We start from the raw sequence: 27822 nt of genomic DNA on the forward strand, positions 1-27822 counted from the left end.
TTTTCATTGTGTCACAGCTGTAATGCTTTTATTGATTACTCGATGTACGAATTAGACCCAGCTTCTTTTTCAAGAACCTTACAGTACTATTAAGAAGGAAAAGTCATGTGGAAAGGGTCACCACAAAAGAAGTATGGAGTGTTATGTAAGTTTATGTGTATTTCTGACAGAGTTTTGACACAGCATTGTGCTCAAGGTCAGCCTTATTTCTTAAAGTAAATTTTCAAAAAAGAGCAAGGATAATTTCTTATATTTCTACTATTAATGAAAGGGCAAATCCCAAATTTTAAGAATAGAAAGTGCTCACTCAATAAATTTATAATAATTGCTTGATAAGCTTTTAAATGAGTGTTAGGTTTGGCAGAATTCTCTGAACAAAAAACCCAAATAATCATGACATTAAGAAGACACAGGTTTCCTTTTCCTCTTTCCTGTAAGAGGTCTGGAGATGGGAAGTCCAGGACTCCACACTCACTTTCTCATCCTTGGTGTCACTCATTCATCTTCAAAATACAGGATGGCTGCTAGGATGCTACTGTCTGTCATGTGCTTGTTTAGAAAGAAAAAAGTGGTTAGTGGTGGAGAGGGCCACAAATGAACACCCTCCCCAGGGAACTGGCTCCCTTTAAAGAACATTCCCAGAAGCCCCCCTCAATTATTTCCATCCACTTAAGTCTCAGTCCCAGAAACTTGCAGAAAGACTAGTGCTATGGTTTAAATGTGCCCCCCCCAAAAGTGTGTATTAAAAACTCAATCACCAATGCAACAGCATTGGAGGGAGGGCCTAATGGGAGGTGTTTAGGTCATGAGGGCTCCACCCTCTTGAATTGGTTAATGACAATTATGAAAGGGCTTGAGGCTGCAAGTTTGATCTCTTGCTCTCTCTTGTGCATGCTTTCCTGCTCTTCCTCCTTTATCCATGGGATGATGCCAAGAAGGCCCTCTCCAGATGCTAAGCAGATGCTAGCACCATTCCCTTTGACTTCCCAGGCTCAAGAACCATGAGCCAAATAAATTTATTTTCTTTATTAATTACCTAGTCTGTGGTATTCTGTTATAGCAACACAAAACAGACTAAGACAACTAGGAAATATAATCTCTTAGCTGGGCATGTTGCCTCCTTGGATAAAATGAGATTCTGTCAGTAAGAAAGAGGAAAGGATATGCAAACTAAGTGGCCAACTAGCAATTCTCACCACAATCTGTTTTTTCAGTAATCTCAGATGGTGAGGGCTAATGTGGCTGTTGTCAACCACAACAGGTAATTTATGTGTATCCTTTCCTCTACTCTGTGTGCTGTGTGGGGGAAATTGTTAATTCATCCATTAGGCCCCCAAAACTGGCCATATTAAAGAAGAACTCTGTTCAAATAAAGCTGCCAAATAAATACTTATGTTTCCCAACTGTTTGTCTTTTTATAAAGTTCTTATAAATTTGATAATCCCCTGCTCAGGTTATGGGTTATACCAATGGATTCCCTTTTTTTCTTTTCTTTTTTTTTTTTTTTTTGAGACAGTTTCACTTCATTGCCCAGACTGGACTGCAGTGGCGCAACCTGGGCTCACTGCAACCTCCGCCTCCCAGGTTCAAGAGATTCTCCTGCCTCAGCCTCCCGAGTAGCTGGGATTACAGGTGCCCACCACCACGCCTGGCTAATTTTTGTATTTTTAGTAGAGATGGGGTTTCACCATGTTGGCCAGGCTGGTCTTGAACTCCTGACCTCAGGTGACCTGCCTGCCTCAGTCTCCCTAAGTGCTGGGATTACAAGCATGAGCCACAGCACCCAGGAGATTCCCTTCTTACAGGATAAAATAACCCTATTAATTGTGGCAAATGCTGAAGTTTTCTTAGGTTCCATGCCATGCATACTTCTCTTCTGTAGTGTTGAGATTTTTCTTGGCACATAGGAGAAACAGCTTTCATGAAGTGCCAAAAAAAAAAAAAAAAAAAAACGAGACTGAGAAGTATCTCTACTAAAGCAATGTCGTGGGATATTATGGATAACGCAAAGGTAAACTGATTAGAAATCAGCATCCATAATTTTATATGAAATGGTCAGTGTCAAAGTAGAAAGTTGGTCATGCTAGGAGTTACCTGAGAAAAGTGTGTATGTATGGTCAGACTGGTCCTCTTCCCAAAATTCAAAATGGGCTAATTCTCCTGCAAAACAAAATAGAGAAAATCAGTTTACTGTAATTTACAAGCACTACCTGGTGCCAAATGGCTAGAGATAATAATTAATATTAGCTGCCAAGGTCTCAGCAATACTAAGAAAATTGAATTATTACTTTATTGGTCTCTCAAATAGGATGATAGGATATTTTTCTAAATCTTTTTGATCCATGGCAGGAAGAATGTTGTTCCATTTGAAAGCACTGCTATTATCAACAATAATGGAAAGGACAGTAAATGGCACCCAGACCTAGGGCATCTCATCATGACACAATTTTTCACTACATCAGCTCTGTAGCAGGTGCTATGCTGAATGAAGTTTAAGTATGGTTTCTGCCCTGTGGCCCAGATCCATTTTGCAGTCATTACTCTGTTTTTCAGGACTAAATGGCTGATTGTGTAGTTAGGTTCTTGCCAGTGCATTTATCTACAGCAGCAGCATCCATTTTCGTGATGAGTAGTATGTACAAAATTGAACAGGAAGAGGAAAAATAAATGAATCACAAAGCCTGTTAGAGGCTCTTGAACATTTGGCCCAAGTGCTAGTAAATGCTAAAGGGGAACATATTTACTGTAGTAGAGATAGATTAAATGGATTAAATTGGTAGATAATTGGGAAAGGTATGTGGGAAAATTGAATGAGTGTAATAGGTAAATAGCATAGTACAAATGGAACAAGTTTCTGATATCTAAATTGGGCACAGCCAAGGCCAGTGCTTACATCACCCAGATGAAGAGACTGCAATTTGCTAAGGCTAGAGTGTTTTAGCCTGCCACAGACATTTGGTTTGACACATTTTAAACTCAGCAGTGACTTTCAGAAGAAATGCTTTAGTTAGGCAGAGAAAAGGGATACAGTGCAAGATAATGGGTCTATGAGAAGGCCCAGAGACCATAGACTTATCTGTTCATCTCAGGGGAGAGATACAGAAGAAGGTGGAGTTTGTGGACATACCATTAGCATTCTGGAATGCTATGATTAGCATCTTGCATAAGCAGGCAGAATCTTTTTAAGCTTTTTTTCATAGCTGTTTTTGCATTCATTCCTTCATTAATTCATTCATTGAACATTTATTTCCTAAGTGCTTCCCACATATAAAATGCTGAAAAGTAAAAAACATTTTTTATTAAAGTTATGGTCAGTGTTTGAAGGGTGAAGACATTTATACTTGGGAAGATAAAATATAAAGAACATTCATTTTGCAGGAAATCGGGTGACAAATGGCAGCTAGGTCATTGGTAATGCTCATTACTTGAGACTTTTTTCCTAGGAAGTGTTTTAAAATATCCTTTGAGGAATGAAACAAAGCATAGGACCTTAAGATTAAGAATTACGACCATCAGCTTTCCTTTTTTGTGGTTCATAAACACCTGTCGAACATTTTTTTCCAATTATGTGGCTGACAAAGTAATGATGACTTCATTGTATATTCCTTATGTTTTAGCACTAGTGGACTTTTCTCACTTTGCAAAAGGTTATCTCCAGTGGAACTGGCTTTTAGTTGAGTGAATATTCTGATTATCTGAGCATTTTGATATATACATTTGAATTTAATATAATACAGTTAGCCATAAAACTATCCCAGAAATGATATAATCTGATTTGAATTATTAGATACTTCAGGAATTTCCAAAATAATACACGAAACACAAAACCACTAGACCAACCGAGTAATTATGATGCAGGACTACACATGTGGAAGCTGTGAGAAGTGGAACTAAGCCTATACTAAACCTAGAAGATATCCCTAGAAATTATTTTCAAATGAATCTCTGATATTAGCTTATGTTTTGACTCTTTCTCATAGAAACGGAGTGCAGAAAATATAGAAAAGAAAAGAATATAAGAAGCAAAACCAGGAAAATGAGGAAGAGTGATACTGATGCATTAGATACATCAAGAAAAACTGTGCTGGGATGGTGTATATATAAGCTTTGTCAAAACTTAAAAGCAAAGGAAGGTCTTGTTTCTTTCTTATCTTTTAACACTACTTTACAACCATGTCAGCTCTCAGCTCTCCCCTAGACTCTTGCCCTAAGCAATATTATCATTGCCCACAAAGTGGCATCTTCTTTTTTTCCAGCCTTTTTCATAACAACAGAATAACAGTCCTCTCTTCCTCTATCCTTTCTGTAGTCAGTATGGGGGTTGATACAAGGGCTGATCAAAAAGAGAATGAAGCCATATCAGAAAAGCTATTCTGCTTGCCTAGTAGCTTAAGCTATGGTGGCTGCTCGGAGAGCTCACTTCTTTGTCCAAAGTATGGATGAAGTTGCTACCATCTTAAATTACAGATTTTGAAGTTTGATTTTTAGTAATAGGGGCATATTGTAAATTCTAGGAATGGCTGAAACATTTCCTAAATTTGCAATGCCAAATACAGTGTTTAAAAATTTTGTATTTTTAAAATTATCATACGGCAAAATTTACTTTTTGGTGTACAATATTACAGTTTTAACACATAGATTTGTATAATCACTACTGTAATCAGGATATAGAACAGTTTCAACAACCCTACAAAAGTGCCCCTATGTTATCCCTTTATCATTACACTCTCTCCCAATCCATGACCAATGGCAACCACTGATTTCCATCACTATAGTTTTGTCTTTTTGATAATTTTCTTTTGAGATGGAGTCTCACTCTGTCTCCCAGGCTGGAGTGCAGTGGTACCATCTCGGCTTACTGCAACCTCCACCTCCTGGGTTCAAGTGATTCTCCTACCTCAGCCTCCCGAGTAGCTGGGATTACAGGTGTGTGCCACCATACCCAGCTAATTTTTGTAGTTTCAGTAGAGACAGGTTTTCACTGTGTTACCCAGGCTGATTCCTAACTCCTGGGCTCAAGTTGTCCTCCTGCCTTGGCCTCCCAAAGTACTGGGATTACAGGCATTGGCCACTGTGAATGTAACATAAATAAAATTAGTGAGAATGTAGTACAAATAAAATCAAAGAGTATATACACTTTTGAGATTGGCTTCTTTCACTTAACACTATGTCTTCGAGATTCATTCATGTATCAGCAGTTGATCCATTTTAATTGTGAGTAGTATTCCATTATAAGGATGTACCACTCCATACTGTCCATTCTTTTGTTGAAGAACATTTGGGTTGCTTTCAGTTTTTGGCTATTACATATAAAGCTGCTACAATCATGTACAAATTTTCGTGTGAACATAGTTTCCATTTTTCCAGGAATATGATTGCTGTGTTAGATAGTAAGTGCATGCATGCCTACCTGCCAAACTCTTTTTTCCAGAGTGAGTATGCCAGTATGTATCAGCAATGGATGAGAGTTTTGGTTTCCTTGCACTTTGCTAGCACTTGGTGTTATCAGTATCTTTTATTTTAGCCATTCTAATAAATGTGTAGTGGTATCTCATTGTGATTGTAATTTGCATTTCCCTAATGGTCAATAATGTTGTATGTTTTTTCAAGTGCTTAACTGCCATCCTTACATCCTCTTTGGTCCTTTACCCACTTTTAAATTGGGGTGTTATTTATTTATTTTTAAATTGACAATCATATTTAATTATTGGGTGCAATGTGATGTAATTATACATGTATACATTATAGAATGTTTAAATCAGGCTAATTAACATACCTATCAACTCACATACTTACCCTTTATTTCTGGGGAAAACAATTAAAATCTAGCAATTTTGAAATATATAATACGTAATTATTAACTATAGTCACCATCCTGTGCCATAGAATACCAAAATTTAATCATCCTAACTGAAATTTTGTACCCTTTGACTGATATTTCCCTTTTCCTGTCCATCTCCCACCCTCAGCCTCTTGTAACCACCATCCTACTCTCTACTTCTATGAGTTTGAATTTTTAGGTCCCACATATAAGTGAGATAATGTGGTATTTGCTGAATTTTGAGTTCTTTATATTCTGAATACAAGTCCTTTGTTGTTTTTTGTGATTTGAAAATATTTTATCTCAGTCTGTAGTTTTATTCTCTTGACAGTGTTTTTTGGCCATAACAGTTTTTAATTTCAATGAAGTCCTATTTATCAATTTATATTTTTATGGACTGTGCTTTTTGTTTCATTTCTAAGAACTTTTTGCCTAACTGCAAGTCATGAATATTTATGCCTATTTTTTTAGAAGTTTTATAATTTTACATTTAGATATTTGTTCATTTTGAGTTAATCTGTGTATAAAGTATAAAATTTAGATATAGGTTCAATTTTTGCATATGGTACCATTTTTCTAACAACATATCTAAATTATCCTATCTCATTGAATTGCTTTTATACCTTTGTCAAAATCAAATGACCATATTTGTGTAGATCTATTCCTGAACTCTCTATTATTCTGTGCATTAACCCATATGTCTATCCCTTCATTAAGACCACATTCTGTTGATTACTATAGCTTTATAGTACGTCTTAATATTGGATAGTGTGATTTGTACAATTTTGTTTTCTTTTTCATTTTTTTTCTAGTTTATCTGCCTTTCTATATACATTTTAGAATCAGTCTGCCTATACCTATATAAAATTCTCCTGGAATTTTGGTAGGAATTGCATTAAATCTTTAAGTCACTTTGGGGACAATTGATTATGTTAGGCTTCCTAATCCATAAACATGGTATACCTTGAAATCAAAGGTCTTCTTTGATTTGTTTAATCAACATTTTGTGTTTAACATGCAAGCCCTGACCATATTTTTAAGTTTTTAATATTTTGTATCTAAGTTTTTAATATTTTGATCTGATTATAAATGGTAACATATTTAATTTCTGTTTTTCAATTGTTTACTGATTGTATATAGAAATAGAATTGATTTTTGTGAGTTGACCCCATAACACATAACCTTGCTAAATGCACTTATTAGTGGTACATGGAAAATTTTTAAAGATACTGTTACGAATTAGCATAAGAAGATGCCCTGAGAAAAAGAATAAGGGGCAATTTGTTCAGAGGAGTCCAAGCCCTCACTAGAGGAATCTCACTGAGTGTTCTTTATACACAAAAAATTGGAAATCTCAAAAGGGACAGGCTTTTCTAAGCAGTGAATGTCTTTTCCCCCAAGTTTTCCTTCTGTTTCTCTCCTACTCAATAAATTTGATTATATAATTGTCAGTCATTTTTACATGCAAATATTGGAATTGTGTAAGATTTTTTTTCTTTGCCCAAGAATATATCACATGGGTTTATACTTGATTCATTCCATCAATAAAAAGAGTATGGTTCAAGGATAATTTGGGGTTGTCTCACCCCTATGTTTAAGTTCTTCACAGCTTCTTTTTCCCAGGTTCTTATATGTTAATTTTCCTATTCTGTCTTTCATCTAGAAAAAGATTTAGTTTAATAATATCATACCTACTTCATTATTTAATAGTACATCACTTAGTTGGATGAGACAGGAGTTTATAGTTTGTAAAGGTATAACCCTGTAATGCCATTTAGTTTCTTGCCCCAATTTCTAGCAGCTTGGGATAATGTATCTATTACATTAAAATAGCTATACACCCTTCTCCCTCCCTCCCTTCTTCCATCCCTCCTTCCCTCCCTCCTTCCCTCCCTTCCTTCCACCCTCCTTCCCTCCCTCACTCTCTCTTTTCTTTTTTTTGCTGAAAAATCTCCAGAGAAAAATCTCTCATTCTTGAGTGATGCACTCCATTGTCTAAAGACTCAGTAAAAGAAGAAAACAGATGGTTAGTCTTCTCCAACATTAGCTTTACAAAAAGAATGCCACTGGTGTTTGCACCAGCAGCAAAGTAAACTGACCCTCAGTTATCCATTGTGAACTTTTACTGGGCTCAGCAAAGCACATTGCACATTAAGGTGGCCATGTACTAAAAAGTAAACTACACAGATATTTCTGAAACAAAAAAAAAACAAATAAACAAACCAGCACTGCTAGATGTAATTGGTAAATTCAAATAAAATAAACATGTGCAATCAAAGTGAAATTAACATTTTAATTTTATCAAATTTTGTAGAAACACTCAATGCTGGAAAATATATATATTTTTCTCAGAATATAAAGAATACTAACTTACCTTTACATAAGTGTATTTAACTTGCCACTAAATTATATGTATTGTACGCCCTTCACAATTGTGCCTTTTTTGTTATGGGTCTTACCTGAGTGAATATTCTCTATCACCATCATACATTTGAAATTAGAAAACCGAACCAGGCCCCAACCCCAACCTCACCCAATAATAATGTCTTATTATTGAACAGTTTTAATATTTAATGAATATTTGAAAATGTCAGTCATGATGAAACAAAATTGATTTGACTCTATTTCAAGTGTCAATATTCAATGAGAAGTGATAATTAGATATCAGACTTAAATATAATTATTAGTCACTAGCAACCTGTCCATATTCCTTTTTTCTTTTGCTAGTTAGATAATTTCAACATCTAACACTGCCAGCAGCATGAATATGTTTAACTAAATTCCATTAATACAAAAAATTTATTTAGCACCAACTGTGTACTTGGCACTATTTTGTGATCATCATTGCTCAAAGATGAACAAAGAATTATTTCTCTCTTCAAGGAGCATACATGAGTGTAAGAGTGATAAAACAAATAATCAAATGAATATTGTATATGTAAAATAAATTCTAGTTTACAGTTATTGAACCTATTATTTGTTAGGCACTATACTATGTTTCATGTATTTCAAGTCATTCAGTGTCATAAAGAGTTTACATGGTAGAGATTATTAATATATAAAATTTTTCATATGAGGAACTTGAAGCTCAGGAATATAAATAACTTGCCCACAGTCATACAACTAGAAGAACAGAAATTCTACCCCACGATATCTGACATCTTTGTTCTTGACCTGACACTTTAAGCATGAACCTTTTACCTATCGACCCTTTTATGGTTTGTAAAGGCATAACCCAGTAATCCTTAATGAAACACCACAAATGTAGTTATGTGTGGTAGGGTATCAGTCATTATGTAAGAATTTAAAAGTTGTCATTATTAATCTCCTTGAATCTATGGATTTTTATAGTTCTTCCTAAAACTCTACCTCATGACAACTTTGTCCTCAGAAAGAAGTTAGTAGTTTCTTCCAACGTGCCACTACAGCTGCAGTTTTGAATAAAATGTTTATTGCCATTTTCTTCCATTTCAATTTCACCTTTAACCAAAGAGTTACATAGAAGTGCAGTTTGGGTTTTTAAATATATTAATAAATTATCTTTTAATTATCATTCATCTTAATTACATTGTCAAGTATAGTCTTTATTATACAGATGATTTGACATTTGAGAGATTTGTTTTGTGGCTTAGTTTGTCATCAATTTTTATAAGATTTCCTCATGAATGGAGAAAAATTATTGTGATAATTGGGTGCAATATTCTAAAGATAAAGATGTATATGTCTTGTTAATTTTTAATTTAAATCTTCTACAGTACAAGTGTTTTTTGTCTGATAGAGGACTTAAAATATCCTACTCTGATATTGTAAATTTGTTAATTGCTCATTATTCTGTCAGTTTCTAGCCAATTAATATTGAGACTTTATCATTTGTAGCAAATAAGCTCATACATGTTAGAATTCCTTGGTGACATAGTTATTTTATTATTGTAAAGTATTCCTCTTGATCTTTACTATTTTTGCCTTAAATTCTACTTTATCTCCCTTTATTTTGCCACAATAGCTATTTTCCATACCTTTGTTTTCAGCATTTCTGAAATATAAGCAGAATTTAGCTGTATTTTAATCTGCCTATATCTTTTGGGGGGATTTTATTTGTATATTTCCCCCATCGTTGCTATTTGTTGGGAGCAGAAGGTCGGCATCAGAGGGCTAACTTTCAGCTCTACTTGGCTAGAAGTCTTCTGTTGGGCTTTTGATGGTAGCTGGAAGTCAAGTATTCCACGTTACGCATCCCCAAAGAGCTGGTATTCTATGTTACTGGCCCCCAGTGCGCTGACATTCCATGTTACTGACTCTCAGAAAACTAGTGTTCGGTGTTATTGACCCCTAGAATCCTGGTATGCCATTATTGCCCCTTAGTCTGTTTACATTACATGTTATACATCCATACAGCACTGGCTGTTCATGTTACCCAACCCCAGAGCACTGGCCTTCCACGTTACCAGTCCCAATGAACACTGGCAACCACAAGGTCTCGTGGTGCAGTTGAACAAAAGGTTATCCTACCACTTCATGGCACTGGATTTGTAGAGGTCCCTGTAGAGAGAACCAGGGCTTTCCTGAAAATTTAGGGAGTTTGATTTGTAAAGTGTGGCTGACAGAATGTAGCCAGTAATTTTTTTTTTCTAATAAATAGGAGAAAAACCAATAACCTAGAACGAGGGAAAAATCATAACTGTACATGTCACCAAATGTAATTTTTTCAAAAGTCAAGTATAATGCAACCTGGAAACAAACACAGAATTAGCTTATTTAGAAAAAGCAAATGTACCAGTAGAGAAAACAAATGAATTGTAACCAGGAATGACTTACCTTACGAGACAATTTAAGATCACTTAAGGAACCTATGCCTTGGTACTTTTCTCAGGAAGAACTGAAAGTAAATGTTAGTGGTCTCCATAAAAGTTCTGCTTCATCGTTTGGCATCTTGAGAATTTACCCTGATGGCTGCGTGAGAGAAGCTGTCCAACCCTATTAATCACTTCTCGACCCAGTTTGCAATGATTACATTTTTAATATTTAAGGAAGTTTTCTAATTATAGCCTCCTGGCTTGATTGATGCAGAAGCATGGAAGTAAATCAAGTCAGCATGGTAACTCCATCCCAGGGCATGCTTAACCGAAAGTATCTTGTGAAGAACTCAATGTTCTCTTCTGTCTAATGTGCAACAGCATATGTGAAATGGAACAACTGTTAATGAGCAGAAAAGTTTATTAAATACGAGTACTGTTTTAAATACGAAAGTGGATCTAGGGATATTAGGTTTCCAATGTTAATATCCATGTAAGTACTTGTATGAAAGTATTTCTAGGTCAAATTAGTACATGCAGCATACTTTGTGATGTTTTAAAGATCAGTGTAAATGTCAGTAAACAAAACAGCAGAAAAGGCAAGGCACAGTTCTGTAATGATTCTAAATTATCCAAACTGGATGATGTTTGTTACTCATTCTAGTATCTTTTAAATTGAAATCTCGAGGGCAATATAATGACCTCCTCACATCAATGGCTTCCTAGTTATATGGTCTTTTTCTATATCAGCAAGGGAAATCTTCTCATTTCAGTTTAAACCAGTGAGTCTCAATGTGCTTCAAATTTACTTACATTAAAAATTAGGTAAAATTAGGAAAATATAGTAAGTTTTTAATTTCTAAATTACTTCCTTGTTTATATATTCAGGTTATATATGTTTCTTACTTTTGGGGTGTTCAAAATAATTTTGAAAAATAGTAAAATGAAGACAGTACTTGGAAATTTTTAATGGGCTTTCTTAGCATAAACAATAACTTATGAAACTCTGCAGAATTTTTTTTCTAATTTTCTGGTATTGTGAAATTTAAAACCCTGGAATCATTGACTCAAGTCATTCTTTGGGAACAAAAGTAGTTATTTCAGAGAGTAAGCAGATTAAGTGGTATTTTTAAGACTGGAAATGGTATTTCCAACATTCTTATGGAATAAAAAGTGGCGTTTGATTAAAGTATACTTGATTTGAGTACACTGAAAGTGTTTTGTAGCTCTCCCCTCATCTACCCACTAGTTGTGCTCAAACAAAAAAGGAGCAGATAAATGGGCCTAAAAGGAATTTAAGCCAACGCAAAGCACTTAAGTCTTCAGAAGAAAAATCAGTATTACGTCATTTCCAAGGCAGTAAAAATGGAAGACTTTGAAGTGGCTGTGCCCTCAAGCATTTCTTGTGCTTGCTTATACCATGGGTAGTCTCTCTGAGATGATTCAGTTTGCCTTATGAGAAAAATATGTATGAAAAATTTGATACACTTGTCCAAGTTGACAATTCACTCTCTTTGGAGGAATCAAGAAGTAGAACTCTTTAGCCATTATGAGGAAACACACACACACACACACTCAGTTCACATTTATTTTAAATGCAAATGTACTGTAAATGAATGAGCACACACATAGGCACATCACACACATTGATTCTTTTATAAATTTGCATTTCTCTCCACATGTTGGCAAAATCCTTTACCTACTGGGGCTGAGAAACAACATCTTAGCTTTGGTGCTGGTCCTGGTTTGAGCCATCCTCTGCATCCTGCCGGTCCTCACTGGGCTGCTTTTCCTATGATAGTAATGTCTCTTCTGTGAGGATGTTGATGACTAGAGCTTTTCAAGTCAATGTTTTTAGCCTTGCTACCATGGCTGCTCTAGTTATGACTACTTTTTATCATTCATCTTCTTTGTGCATCTCATATGTTTGTATATTTGGATAGTTTGAAAAAGATGTATAATCATCTTTTTGTCAGATAGCTTTTACACATGGTGATCAATGCTGGGTCACCTTCCTGTACTTTGCTAAACAGTTTTCTCTTCTCCAGCTGTACTTGGAATCTGTTTCCCTAGACTATACTTTCTCTTGGGCATCTTGGATTCCAAGTCAAGAAGAGTCAGATTTCCTTGTCCTTTAAAAACATGGTGCCCTCACTGGGTCCATTTTTTTTTTTTTTTTTTTTTTTTTTTGAGACAGAGTCTCACTTTGTTGCCTGGATTGGAATGCAGTGGTGCAATCTTGGCTCACTGCAACCTCTGCCTCCCAGGTTCAAGCAATGACCATGCCTCACCCTCCTGAGTAGCTGGGATTACAGGTGTGTGCCATCATCACCCGGATAATATTTTTTTTTTTTTTTTTTTTTTGGTAGAGACAGGTTTTCACCATGTTGGCCAGGCTGGTCTCAAATTCCTAACCTCAGGTGATCTGCTTGCCTTGGCTTCCCAAAATGCTGGGATTACAGGCATGAGCCACTGTGCCCAGCCTCCGTTACCTTTTAAGAGACCTCCCTGACCATTCATGATTCCTCTGTTAACACCAGCCACATGTATTGGTAGCTGCAAAGACTATACTGTATGTTACTTCATGGATTGTTTTCTAGATTCTAAGGTCTTTATGATTCCTCTAGGAACTGACAGTTATTTGCCACTGTGATTTGAGAAGAGGTAGACTGTGGTAAAGCTCTTCCAAATGAATTGTTTTCTAGGAAAGAACAGATCTCCCTAGCATCATGTTTGTACTATTTCCTTTTTAACTATATCAGTCCTTCATCCCATGGAGCTTCTGTGCAAGAGCTGCGACTTATATTCTAATTCTCTATCCTAGGATAAAAGTCTTTCTGTGCACTTTTAACTCTACTATTGTACTAAGACTGACAAGATCTTCAGAAATTTTTTTTCATGTTTGAAGACGCTTGCTTAGATTTGCCTTTTTTTCCTTTTTGTCCAAATTTATGGGGTACAAATCTGTGCAATGTATTACATGCAAGATTGTGTAGTGATCAAGTCAGGGCTTTTATGGTGTACATCATACCCATTAACCAATTTCTCATCATCCTCCCCTCTCCTACTCTCTTACCCTTGTGAGTTTCCATTATCTATCATTCCACTGTTTACATACATATGAACACATTTTTCACCATGCTCTTATGAGTGAGAACACGTGTTATTTTTCTTTCTGTGCCTGGCTTGTTTCACTTGAGATAGTGACCTTCACTTCCACCCATGTTTCGAAGGGGTCCTAAGACCTTGTAAGTGTTTCCCTACAGCTGACAATAAAAAAGGTCAAACAATTATCACATGAAATAACTTTTAAGGACTCATGTATGTAAATTTAAGGAACAGGAACATTAGGATGACCTTAAGATATGTTTACACATGAAAGTGTCCAAGCCTATAATACTTTATTATTTTAGCATTTACAGAGTACTTTTGCTAGGTACTTTGCTAGCTTCTTGAGACTTAATGTTGAATTAGACATGGCTTTTGTCTGAAAGGAGGCTCAAAGGTTTGCCGAAGCTCCAAACCTCTGGAAAATACACTTTAAAATACAGGACCTAGACATAGTTAAACAGAGGCAGTTAATATCTCATGGATGAGAAACATAAAGAAGCCATTCAATATGATCTCATTTACTTTCTCCATACGTACACTACAGGTAGTTATATTAGACAACTGTAGCTGTTCTACAGTTAGAAATTATGAAGCCAATAAAAATGCTTTAATTGCTGTTCTTTTGCATTTCATCTCAAAGCAACTTTAACTTGAACTCTTCAAGTGAGATTTCTTGTGGAGATACACCCGAGAAGAACCTGTGCACTGTGAACTTCCTCATGCTCATGCCCATTGCTTGGTTGGCACCCCACGCTGAACTAGAAGGAGCCAGGACAAGAAGCTCAGCATCCCTGGCACCCTACTGTTAAATCCATGGGCCAGTCTGCAGGGCAGGGAGAGTTTAGATTGAAATCAACCCAGCACAGGGCGTGGGGCCAGGGGAAGAGAAGTAGTCCATATCAGCCATAGCAGTCTTCTGGCCGTCTGTGGCCCAGCCCTGAAAGCTTTTACCCAGTAAATTTTTTAAGCTTTCATTTTGGCTGCCTAGACAGATGTTCCAAATTTATATCTGCTTCACTTAGTGCAAGAACCAGGTAATGAGGAAGAAGCCAGTTCCAGTAAATGATCCCCAAGGCTACGGTCCTTTCCATTTGGGCAAATAGATGATAAAACCTGTACGGCGTTCCACTAATGCTCAAAGTCAGTTTCTTCAGTGGAAGTACACTTCGAATAACAAATCTAACAGCAATTGGCAGGGGTCTGCCTCACAGGAGGGTGGCATCTTTTATTTAAAAAGCCTTGTTTTTGTGAAAAACAAGAGGGGCCTCATTTATGAATGCAAATGATGGCTTGCTTTTGTTTTACAAAATATTGAGAGATGGTATTAGATACTATGATTGAATATGCACACAACATGCATGCATGCGCGCGCGCACACACACACACACCCACGGCCACTCAATGCATTTGTGAGCAGGTCAGAGACATACATTTTATATACTAGGATATTCAGTGCTTCTAAGTTTACGGAGACTGATGAAAAATATAAGTTATCCCCAAGTGAGGGAGTTTTCATAATTGATGGTTTTGGACTTCAGAGACCAAAATTGACCTTCTGATCCTTTGGTTGCTCAGGGTGGATGGGGAAATCAGGCTCTGCTTTTATCTGTCATCTGATATTTCCTTTACGTTATGACCTATCCCTGAGTGCTGGGACCTTGTGTCTCCCTACAAGTGCAAAATATGTAGTCCTTGCAGGTTAAAATCAAGACCTTGGCTTCATTTTGAAAACAGCATGCAGTAACCAATTATTTTAATGTTTCACATTTTCCACTTATGGTGATTATAAACTGTTTGGAACTTTGTTTTTAGACCAAGATAATTTTTAATAAATGGTCTGAAAGCTTCAAATCTGTTGATTTAATTATCAAAATCCGTGTTCCTGTTAAAAAACTCAAGAGAACATTTTGATTATGGGGATGGCTTAATAGACAATTAGGTAAAGTGATCTGGCAGAAGCAGCATAGTCAAGGCTCTTTCGCAAGGCAACTTGTCTCCACAGAAGGCAAAACTCTTCAACCAACAGGAACTTGGGCATAGACTTTTTTCTTCTCACAGTTTTTTTGCTTACTGAAATAAAGGGTGCATGAAATCCTGAGCAGGCAAATTAACTAGACAAAGCACTTAGAAGCTGAATTTAAAGTTCCAATGGAGACCATTGGAAAACTGTATTGAGTGCTTTTAGTGAAAATTCTACCCATTAATGATGTAGTAAAGAAAATGTGGTACGTATATACCATGAAATACTATGCAGCCATAAAGGAGAAGGTAATCATGTGAGTGAATTAACACAGGAACAGAAAACTAACTTACAAGTGGGAGCTAAACATTGAGTACACATGGACGTAAAGATGGCAACTATAGACACTGGGGGGACTACCAGAGGGTGTAGTGGGGGAGAGGGGCAAGGGTTGAGAAACTACCTATTGGGTACTATGCTCACTACTTGGGTGACAGGATGATTGTACACCAAACCTCAACATTATGCGATCTACCCATATAACAAACCTGGACGTGTAATCCCTTGACCTAAAATAAAAGTTGAAAAAAAAAGTTTACTTGCTCAGTTGTAGGCCAACAGATGTAGTCTCATAACTGGCAAGGACTGTGAAGAAGGGCATGGCATGATGAATAAAGAGACAGGATGAATACAGGGTGAATATGATTCCCATGTCTTGATTCAGATTAGAACTGTCCACTGGTATGGGAAGTACCTTATCCGGATCCATTCCCTTAGAAATGGTTCCAGAGATTTGTCCAGAGATAGTGGAAAATATCCCACAAACCCATGAGTTATTTTCTGAACACCTTATTAATACAATGATCATGTAAGTTATTTAAAATTTCATCTGGGAAGAAGGTAAAATTAGATGCAATGCTGAGATTCCACTGGACATGATGAGAAGCATGACCACAGTATTTCTGAAGAATTTGCCCAATGGACTAGGTGCCAGGTGATAGAGGAGTGACTGATGGCTCTTCCATCATGTCTCTGTGTGAACAGAAAAAAATTATCATAATGCCACAGTTTCCCATTCTTTTGACTCATGCTCCTGTCTAGCCAGCAGCAAGCTGCCACAGGCAAACCTTCTTGAAAGAAGGAAACAACTCAGGTTTCGGCATTTATGTTGCAGTCATTTGTTGAACTTTTTTGAAGCAATTTTTACTTATGAGAGTATCTACAGCAGTGGCTTTCAACATACATCTCATTGAAACATCCTAGCATGTAATAATTGGTGAGGTATGTCACAAGAAATATGCAAGGTACTAAAATGTGTAATATGTCATTTTGCATAAATTCACTTGAATTCAAGGTTACTGGTATAATGATACAAGTCACACTTACTGATATTGCAAAAAGCTTTCTGGAAAAACAAAATGGGTTGGAGCTTGGGAATCAGCTAATCTTATTTTTAAAATCTAGTTGAGTTGGACAGAGTGTCTTCTGTGCCATTGAGTCTCTTACCAGTGTTCCACCAGGAGAAAAAAAAATTGAGAGTCTGTGTTCCACTTATCTATTGCTGCATAACAAACCACTCCAAAATGTAATGTCCTAAAACAAAACAACATTCATTTTGCTTGTGAATCTGCAACTTGAGCAGGGCTCAGTGGGGATAGCTGTTTTTCTGCTCCCCTCGGAATCAACAGGGTCAGCTCTGAGGCTCAGGGCAGGAATCATCTGAATGCGTACTCACTCTCACGTCTCGGGCAGGTATGTGAGTTGTTGTGGCCAGGGGATGGACTGTGGCACATTGTATTTTCCAAAAGTGGCCATAGCTAAATTTCTAGTCCCACATGCTCTTCCAGAACTTTGGCACTCACCTATCAAAACGTGGGGTGAATGTTCCTTCCCCTTGATCCTGGGAAGGATGGTGAATACTCTGACCAATAACGTGTAGCAGAAATCTTGCCAGCCTTGACTTTCGAGGCTGGGCTGTAAAGGGTAACATGACTTCCATTTGAAATTCCTCTCATGATGCTCAGTCTACGAAGCCCCGGCCACATGAAGAGGACATTGTTAAGTGGCTGATAATCTCAGCTAAGTTCTCAACTAACAACTAGGATCAACGATCTGACATGAGTAAAGGAGTCTTCCCCTCACTCCAGCCTCGAGATTTGAACCTTCCTAAGCTGACACCCTGTGGAGCTGAGATGAGCTACCCCCACCCGGCCCCAGAGTCTTGTTCAAATTGCGGATGTGTGAGTAAAATAAGTAGATAACTGTAATAGGTAGCTGCAACTCTGCTTTAAAGATTAAAGAGCGGATGTGCTCAAAATTTTCTGAAGATTCCAGAGGTTATTCTGAAACAAAAGTTGTTTTATTGATTATTGCTGCTTATGTATTTTTCTTGCCTAATTAGACATGGGCACCAATCTCTTGTCAAAATTCACTCCTTTCCACCAAAGTATATACCCCATTCTCTAATTTTCTAGATAGCATCTTTGTGGTAAAATGTGAACTCAACATTGCTAAATTGACAATCTGTAGATTTTTGTTATTTTTGGCAGTCTGTGTCCTAGAATTCTTTACTTCTATTCTCTAACTTATTTCTGAATTGTTAGATAAGATGAACTATAATTTTTGAACTGAATGGTAATGATATAGCATGGTTATTATATTAGTGTTTGGTAGATTTAAAGATTTCAGGGCTTTCATGTTAGCATAAGTACAACTTGATCAGACACCAAAGAGTATATAGGGATATTATGTGATGTTGTGTATTGCAAGATAAACAAGGCCACGATTCTTTTAAATAGAATTTTGCTATCTTCACCAAGTTTTTTGTTAAATAGGAACACAATGGCATATAGTTTTTGCTTCTGAAATGTCACTGTGTTGTTTCCTTATCAAAAGAATTCTGATAAATGACAGAAGTCTCCCCTTTCAGAGATAATAATTGATAAACAATCCTGTAAAATCTCCACAAATATATCATGAAAGAAATTTTTTTTCTATAGGGGTTGTCCATCCTTCATTCTGTCCTCTAAGTAGATTTTTAAGGATCTGCATCAAACATAATCCAAAGCATTTTCAAACTTTAGCATTCATTAGAATCATCTAGAAAGCTTAAGTCACCGACTGCTATGCCCCAGCCCCATAGCTTCTGATTCACTAGTAGAGTGAATCCCAAGAAATTGCATTTCTAACAGTGCTGCTCATCCCATGACCACACTATGAAGATTACTGATCTAGAGAAACAAGATAAAAGCCTAATATGTGGAGATATTTTTCTAACCACTACTCTCTGAAATATACTCAAATTTAAAGCAGCTTTCAGTTCATCCCGTGACAAAATAGTTTTCATTCATTCAAAGGTTAGACAAGTGATTTCTCTTAACCACATTTTCTCACATACTGGGGCAAAGTGCAAGAAGAAACAAATTGATTCTTTCAGTCTGAATGTCATTGAGTTCTAAATGGGTTCTAGAATTGAGAATGTGTAGAAGTGCAAGCCATTTGTCACCAATGCACAACCAGAGAATTTGGTTAGTTTTGCCAGTTTAGAAAATAGCCAGAATTCTGTATCAAACATTTCAGTAATAAAAGATGGAATAGACAAAATTAGATTATGACTGGGAGCTTAAAGACCAAATTTGTTCTGGTCTAGATGCCTCAGACATCTGATTCTCAAGAAACCCTCACTGTCTTCAGGAAAAGTATGAAAGATCTCTTTCCTCAACTCCTGAGAAGGAAACAGATCTGTTACCTTGAAGGTTTTCTTTCAGTATTCTATATATTTTAAACTAAATTAACCTAATTGAATTACTCAAAGAATTGGCCAAATCAGAACCAACCCAAATGTCCATCAATGATAGACTGGATTAAGAAAATGTGGCACATATACACCATGGAATACTATGCAGCCATAAAAAAGGATGAGTTCATGTCCTTTGTAAGGACATGGATGAAGCTGGAAACCATCATTCTCAGCAAACTATTGCAAGGACAAAAAACCAAACACCGCATGTTCTCACTCATAGGTGGGAATTGAACAATGAGAATACTTGGACACAGGAAGGGGAACATCACACACTGGGGCCTATTGTGGGGCGGGGGGAGGGGGAGATATAGCATTAGGATATAAACCTAATGTAAATGATGAGTTAATGGGTGCAGCACACCAGCATGGCACATGTATACATATGTAACACACTGCACATTGTGCACATGTACCCTAGAACTTAAAGTATAATAATAAAAAAAAAGAATTGGCCAAGTCAGCAGTGCTTTAGGTTGGCTCTGGAATTATTAAGGTCCTTCTGTCCACAGACTTTCCACTGATTCTTTCTCCATCCTTAATTCAGTTGTTTCTTTCTAATTTAACTCTTTCATAATTGGATAATTAGAGTTTCCATTTTCCATTGCGGACCATCTTGCTTTGACTTGCTGAAGTGCATGTTTATGAATGTATACTTTCTATTAGTGATTTGCTAAATGTCTCATTTATTTAAAACATTTTCTCTTTTATTATAAAAAGAAATACATGCTCATTGTAGGGAAAATACCAAGATATTAAAGAAAAATTAATATCCCAAAGGCTATCATTAAGAGATATGTAGTAAATATTGTGATGATTTTCTTTACACTCATTTTATATATATATGCTCACTATATATATATTTGGAGTTTTCAAAAATATAAATTAAGAGTTACCTACGAATAAACTTAACCAAAAAAGTGAAAGATCTCTACAATAAGAACTACAAAACATTGATGAAAGAAGTTGAAGAAAACACAGACAAGTGGAAAAATGTTTCATGTTCATGGACAGGAAGAATTAATATTGTTAAAATGTCCATACTATCCAAAACGATCCACAGATTCAATGCAATCCCTATCAAAATACCAATGACATTATTCAGATAAATAGAAAAAACAAGCCTAAAATTTGTATGAAACTACAGAAGATCCCAAATAACCAAACAAGTCTTCAACAAAAAGAAGAAAGCTTGAGACATCACACTATCTGACATCAAAATAAATTACAAAGCAGTAGCAACCAAAACAGCATGATGCTGGCATAAAAACAGACACACAGACCAATGGAACAGAATAGAGAACCCAGATGTAACTTCATACATTTACAGCCAACTGATATTCAACAAAAGCACCAAGAACACACATTGGGGAAAGAACAATCTCCAATAAATGGTGCTGGGAAAACAATATCCACATGCAGAAGAATGAAACTAGACCTTTATCTCTCATCATTTACAAAAATCAACTCAAAATGGATTAAAGACTTAAATGTAAGACCTGAAACTATGAAACTACTAGAAGAAAACATCGAGAAAATGCTTCATGATATTGATCTGGGCAAAGATTTTTTGGATGAAACCTCAGAAGCATAGGCAAAAATAGACAAATATGATTACATCAAACTAAAAATCATCTGTACAGCAAACAAACCTAAGTGAAGAGATAGTTTACAGAATGAGAGAAAATATTTGCAAACTATACATCCGACAAAAGGTTAATACCCAGAATGTACTAAGAAACTCAAATAACTCAATAGCAAAAAACCAAATAACTCAATTTTTAAGAAGGCAAAAAATCTGAGTAGATATTTCTTAAAAGAAGACATATAAATGGCCAGCAGGTATACGAAAAAATGCTCAGTATCACGAATCATCTGGGAAATGCAGATCAAAACTGCAATGAGATATTATCTCACCCCAATTAGAAGGGCTGTTATTAAAAAGACAAAATATAACAAGTTCTGGTGAGGATATGGAGAAAGGGGAATACTTACACGTGTTTGGTGGGAATGTAAGTTAGCACAGTCACTATGGAAAACAGTATGGAAGTTCCTCAAAACATTAAAAATACAACTGTCAGGCCAGGCGCGGTGGCTCACGCCTGTAATCCCAGCACTTTGGGAGGCCGAGGTGGGCAGATCACCTGAGGTCAGGAGTTAGAGACCAGCCTGGCCAACATGGTGAAACCCTGTTTCAATTAGAAATACAAAAAATTAGCCAGGCATGGTGGTGTAGTAATCCCAGTTACTTGAGGGGCTGAGGCAGGAGAATCGCTTGAACTCAGGAGGAGGAGGCTGCAGTGAGCCAAGATCGCACCATTGCACTCCAGCTTGGTCAATGAGAGAAACTCCGTCTCAAAAAAAAAAAAAAAAAAAAAAAAAAAAGAGAAAGGCTGGGTGTGGTGGCTCATGCCTGCAATCCCAGCCCTTCGGGAGGCCGAGGCGGGCGGATCACGAGGTTAAGAGATGGAGACCATCCTGGCCAACATGATGAAATCCCATCTCTACTAAAAATACAAAAAAAAAAAAAAAAAAAATTAGCTGGGTATGGTGGCACACACCTGTAGTCCCAGATACTCAAGAGGCTGAGGCAGGAGAATTGCTTGAACCCAGGAGGCAGAGGTTACAGTGAACTGAGATCATGCCACTGCACTCCAGCCTGGTGACAGAGTGAGAGTGAGACTCCCTCTAAAAAAAAAAAAAAAAAAAAAAAAAAAAGGAACTGCCATATGATCCAGCAATGCCACTATTGGCTATATATCCAAAGGAAAAGAAATCAGTAGGCCAAAGAGATATCTGCACTCCCATGTTTATTGCAGCACTATTCACATTAGCCAAGATATGAAGTCAAACTAAGTGTCCATCAATAGATGATTGGATTAAAAAAATTAGCATATTTACACAACTGAATACTATTTATCCATAAAAAAGAATGAAATCCTGTCATTATAATTTTTTAAATTAAGGGTTATATTATAAAATTTTAAGTAAGTCAAATGGTTTTTATTTTTCATTACTTTATACTTATCATTACTGTTATTAATATTAGTAATAAAATTTATGAATGTCTACTAAATACTAGACACTATGCTAAGTTCTTTACATGTATTATCCTTTTTTAAAAAATTCAACTTTTAGATAAGGGGTACATGTGCAGGTTTGTTACATGAGTGTAAAATTAGAACACGTAAAAATAGAAAAAAATGAAGAAAATTATAACTTACCCATAATAAATACCATTCCTTCCCATCACAAATATTATCTTTATTTACATTTTAGGGTTATATGTTAAGATATTTCATATGCATATGAATGCATTTTTTGAATTTGAATTGAACTGAATTTTTTTGAATTGAATAGAATTTTCCTTACAGATTGCTATGTATGGATGGAGGAGTGAATTATGAAGGAGCACAAGAAAGCTTTTGTGGGATGCATACATTTAGTATCTTCATTAGTATCTTCCTATTATGGTGTGTGATAATGTCAAAATTTATCAAGTTGTACACCTTAAATATTTGCAGCATATTGCATGTCAAGCACACCTTAATAAAGCTGCTAATCTTTTTTTGAAAAAGGAAAACAACATGTTTTTGGCCACAATTGTGGTGGAATGTGAGTCCACATTGTATGTAAGACTCTGCAAGGTGGTTACTCTTCCAGAAGCATAATGATTGGGCAATGGCCGTATAAGCATAAGAGGATGAAATTATATCAGCTCATAAAACAGAATCGAGGGAGAAGAGGGAGTGGGGTTCAGGTGGCAGAACCAACTTTTATCAAAGTAGGAATAGTAGCTCTTTTATGTTTTGTTATTCTTGGAGAAGTCAGAGGTTTTCATATTCTCCCCAGCAGGGGCCCATTTAATGGTCTAACAGCAAGTGTTTATTTAGATTGTGCTTCTCACTCACAACCCGTCAACTCACACAGGAGGTAGGACACAATAATAAAAACTGGAAAACTGACAAGGGACTAAAACGAGGGCTTTTGGGGTATTTCCCCCAATCCTGGTTCAACAGACATTTACTTGTTACTTACTATGTATACTTGCTACCTTTTATGTATCTATAAAATATATGTGACAGAAACAGATAGGTTTCTGCCTCTCTAATTAGCTCAGAGGTAAATAAATAAATAGATACTTATACTTGAGGGTTTGTGAAGCACAAATCTGTTAGAAATAGAGGTGAAGAGAGGCATCTGTATACAGTAAACTGTGTCAGATTAGCAAATTTCTTGGCCAATTTAGTTTTACTTTAGGGTAAGAAATATGTACTCTATTACTGATCCATTTCCATTTCTAATTGATTCCCCTAATTATCCTAAGGAATTTTCTGTAGTAAATACCAAACCTATTTCAACAGAAATAATAAAAGTGGGATTTTATTTTCAAATTCAATAGAAGTGTCTTGGGAGATCATCAAAGCCCCAAGTCCAGAGGATATACGTCATGGTAACTGGTTATTCTCAGCCACTCCATCAGAAAATATTTACTATGCTTTTACTAAATAACATTTGTTATATAACCAACCTTCTATTAATGGGCACTTAAGTTTTTTCCAACTTTTTACTATTACAAACAAATGGCAAACACACATTTTGTGTGTGTGTGTGTGTGTGTGTGTGTGTGTGTGTGTGTGATCTTTGCTTGTCTACAGTTTTTTCCATTAAACATATTCCTAAAAGTGGAATTGCTGGGTCAATGAATATAAATATTTTAAATTCGTATCGCTATTGCCAAATTTCTTTTCTGCATTGAGTGGATTCAGCCATGGATTTTTGTCTTTGATCTTGACTAGAAAAGTTCCAGTGGAAACAGTCTGAAGCCAGATTATAGAAATTCAGGGAGGGGAAGAGAACGCAGCCTGTGAAAATAACTCTTTCCAAAAGTTCGCTGATGATACTGGAGTATAAAGGCCTTTTTCCTTTATCCCAATTGAGGAAAACTTTGCAGAGAAATCTCAGCTTCAAAGCTCCCCATAGGGACAGCTGAGGCCTTTGTTGTGACACCATGACACAGCTCAGCTTCTCCTTCTGCTCAGTCCTTATTCCTTCATCCTCCCAAAGGCATTGATCAGGGGAGATGAACATCCTGTACACACTAATCTTCATCATATAGTTTCTTTCCCAGAGAACCTGACTTCAAGTGTCTGTCAACCTATATTCCATACCAAGTAAATATATTCTTCAAAAACAAACTCCTTTTTGGACAATCAAAAGCCAAGAGAATTCATTGCCAATAAGTTTGCCCTGCAAGAATACTAAAAGAAGTTCTTCAAATGAAGGGAAATTATTCTATATGAAAGCACAGATCTTCAGGGAGAAATGAAGAGCACCAGAAAGGATATATATGTAGGTGAACATAAAAGTCCATTTTTTAATAAAAAGGCAAACAATGAAATAACAATGCATTGTGGGGTTTATAACATATGTAGAAATAAAATATATAACAACAATAACAAAAGGCAGAGGAATTGGTAAAAATGTTTGTGATATGGTACAATATTCAAGGCAAACTATAATAAATTGTGGGTGCATATTTTAACTTCCAGTGTAACTAAAATAATACAAAAACATATAGCTAAAAAGCCAATGGAGAAATATCATGAATAATAAAAATATTTGCTTAATTCAAGATAAGTAAGGAAGAGAAGAATAAAAGTTCAAAGAACAGATAGACAAGTAGAAAAGAAAAAGCAAGATGGTAGAAAAATCCCAACTGTATCAGTAATTACATTTGGTGTAAATGAAGTAAACACACCAATTAAATTGTCAGAATGGATTAAAACACACACATGTGCACACACACACCTGTGCACACTCACATGGCCCAAATACATACTGTTTACAAGAGACATACTTCAAATATAAAGACGTGGTTAAGTTGAAGGTCAAAGAGTGGGCAATGATATATTATGCAAATATTAACCACTTGAATTCTATGGCTACTCTTCTTTACAAAGGTGGGATTTCCTTGTAGGGCTTCAGGGAGGGGAAAGAATAGCAATTAAAAAGAAGAGATGAGAAGAAGAGCTAGAAAAGAGTAGGAAGAGAGGGAGGGGAGAAAAAGAAAAATGGAGAAGAGAAAAGGAAGGAGAGAGAGGATTTGGAAAATTAGAGGGGCAAGAGTTAAAGAGAAAAGTAGGGAAGTATAATAGTGAAGGACAAATAGGATGGGGAGGTACTGCTATAAAGTTTCACAGGTAATTTCTCTTTAGCAATCAAGTTTCTTGTAGACCCATGTATTAGTTTGTTTTCATACTGCTGATAAAGACATACCTGAGACTGGTAAGAAAAAGAGGTTTAATTGGACTTACAGTTCCACATGGCTGGGGAGATCTCAGAATCATGGGGGAGGTGAAAGGAACTTCTTACGTGGCAGCTGGCAAGAGAAAAATGATGAAGAAGCAAGAGCAAAAACCCCTGATAAACCCATCAGATCTCGTGAGACTTACTCACTATCACGAGAATAGCACGGGAAAGACCGGCTCCCATGATTCAATTACCTCCCCCTGGGCCCCTCCCACAGCACGTGGGAATTCTGGGAGCTACAATTTAAGTTGAGATTTGGGTGGGGAGACAGCCAAACCATATCAACCCATCTCCCAACTCCAGACAGTGCTTTTTAATAGGACTACTCCCTAACTTGTTCCTTTTCATTTTTCTGTATATCACATTTTTAAATATCCAACCTTTTTGTTTTAAATGTGAAAAAGGGCCTCTGCTGGGTGAGGAAATACAACAAAATGCTTTACAACGTACAAGTGCCACTAATTACTTCAATTGCTTGCATTTTCCTGAGCCACACCTTGGGAATGCTAAGTACCCCATTCCAGGCTACATGGCCAACACCCAACTTCTGCTGAGGGAGTGTTTATAGTAAGTGAATTCTCAACTACAGGATTTTGAAATGAATGTTATGAGAAAGATTTATGTTTGCAATGACTATGAATCTACGATTACTGACAGCACAAAGCTACAGATGTAAGTGAAAGGATTAGAAGCAGCTGATCCAAAAACAATGCAGTCTCAATATAAGGCCTTAGGTGAGTTTTTTTTTTTAATTAACATTTATATGGAAGGAGAGAACTTGTTTATTTCAGATTGCTGTCTTGGATTGACCTCAAAATAGAGGAAGCACATTGTAGGGTTTTAAAGCTATCCTTGAACTGGAATTAGCCTATAGAATTTTGCCTATAGAATATTTGGCATTAGTTGTTGGAGCTAAAAGGAGTTAGAATTTTCTTATGATAACTGAACCACCCTGCAGCTATTTTTCTTTCACAAATATGTGAACATTATCCAAAGGTGTTAGAATTGGGAATAGCAAATACATGTTACACATCCCTGTATTTCCCTGTATGCATGGCCAACATTGCTAATTAAGCTTGGCATGCCTTTTTCTGGTTCTTTTGAATCCTTCTTGATGTATCACTGGGCTGTACCATCAATCATCTAGGCATGATGTGCAATTTCTCAGCATTTTTTTGGTGCCACATTCTCCTTCAGCAGTTTGTGCCTACGGACTTCTCACAATAATGTTATTTATTTTATTTTTTTAAATGTATAAAGTAAATTGCATAGGATTATTCTGACATGCAGTTACCAAGATATTTATAAAAATCTGTGGTATAGTAATAAATTTGCTTCATTATAAATACACTAAAAAATCTACCAGTGGGTTTTAATAAAAACTGTTGAATTTTAACACAGTGATAAGCATAAATAATTCATCTGTATGTACTGCTGTAACGACATAAAAATAGTTATATTTTATACTTTTGACGAAGTCACAGGTACCACTACAACTGTGGGTTCTTTCTTTCATTCTCTCTCTCCTTCTTTTTGCCTTTATTCACAGTTGAAGGAATACTAAATTTTTGCTACATGTAAATAAAAATAGTATGTAATTATTTTTCCATCCATGTGGTCTCCAGGTTAGAAACCCTGGGAAGATTTCATGACTGAGGGATCATGAAAGTTTAAACCTAGATTTTCAGCAAAAGCAATTAATAGACTAGATAGAAGCAAAGAGAGTTAAGTGACTGTTTTCTTTATGGCATAAGAATTTCCCATAATAAGAAATACATAAGAAATCTGAAGCTCAATATTAAAGATGAGTATTAAATATTAATCATATCAGTAGTAGTAATAGATACATTTTAGGCCTCTAATGCCTTTTATCACTTTTTACCTTGTTTCCTTCTCCTACTTTACAACAGGAGGCAGGCCTTTCCCTTCCAAAGTTGTGCTCTTCATAATGGTAGTTAAAATCTCTTGAGATTTCCATACTTGGAAAGTGTTTTGGGATATTGTGGGTATCCTAGATATGAAAATA

At 36.2% G+C, this 27822-nt stretch overlaps 1 long non-coding RNA gene across 3 annotated transcripts; it reads right to left on the reverse strand.

The window, feature by feature from the left end:
* LOC101928819 (uncharacterized) lies at positions 1 to 27795 on the reverse strand. Of its 3 annotated transcripts, XR_948391.3 has the most exons (5): positions 27679 to 27795; positions 25802 to 25866; positions 3128 to 3275; positions 2095 to 2160; positions 1 to 549 (listed from the first exon to the last, which is right to left on the reverse strand). It is a non-coding gene; the product is annotated as an uncharacterized LOC101928819 (long non-coding RNA). The 3 variants fall into 3 exon arrangements; XR_948390.3 differs by lacking the exon at positions 27679 to 27795 and having other exon boundaries at positions 25802 to 25885; XR_241808.5 differs by lacking the exons at positions 25802 to 25866; positions 27679 to 27795 and adding an exon at positions 10637 to 10699.
* Between the last annotated feature and the right edge of the window lie 27 nt (positions 27796 to 27822).

Source organism: Homo sapiens, chromosome 5, assembly GCF_000001405.40.
Source record: "Homo sapiens chromosome 5, GRCh38.p14 Primary Assembly".
Taxonomy (NCBI): domain Eukaryota; kingdom Metazoa; phylum Chordata; class Mammalia; order Primates; family Hominidae; genus Homo; species Homo sapiens.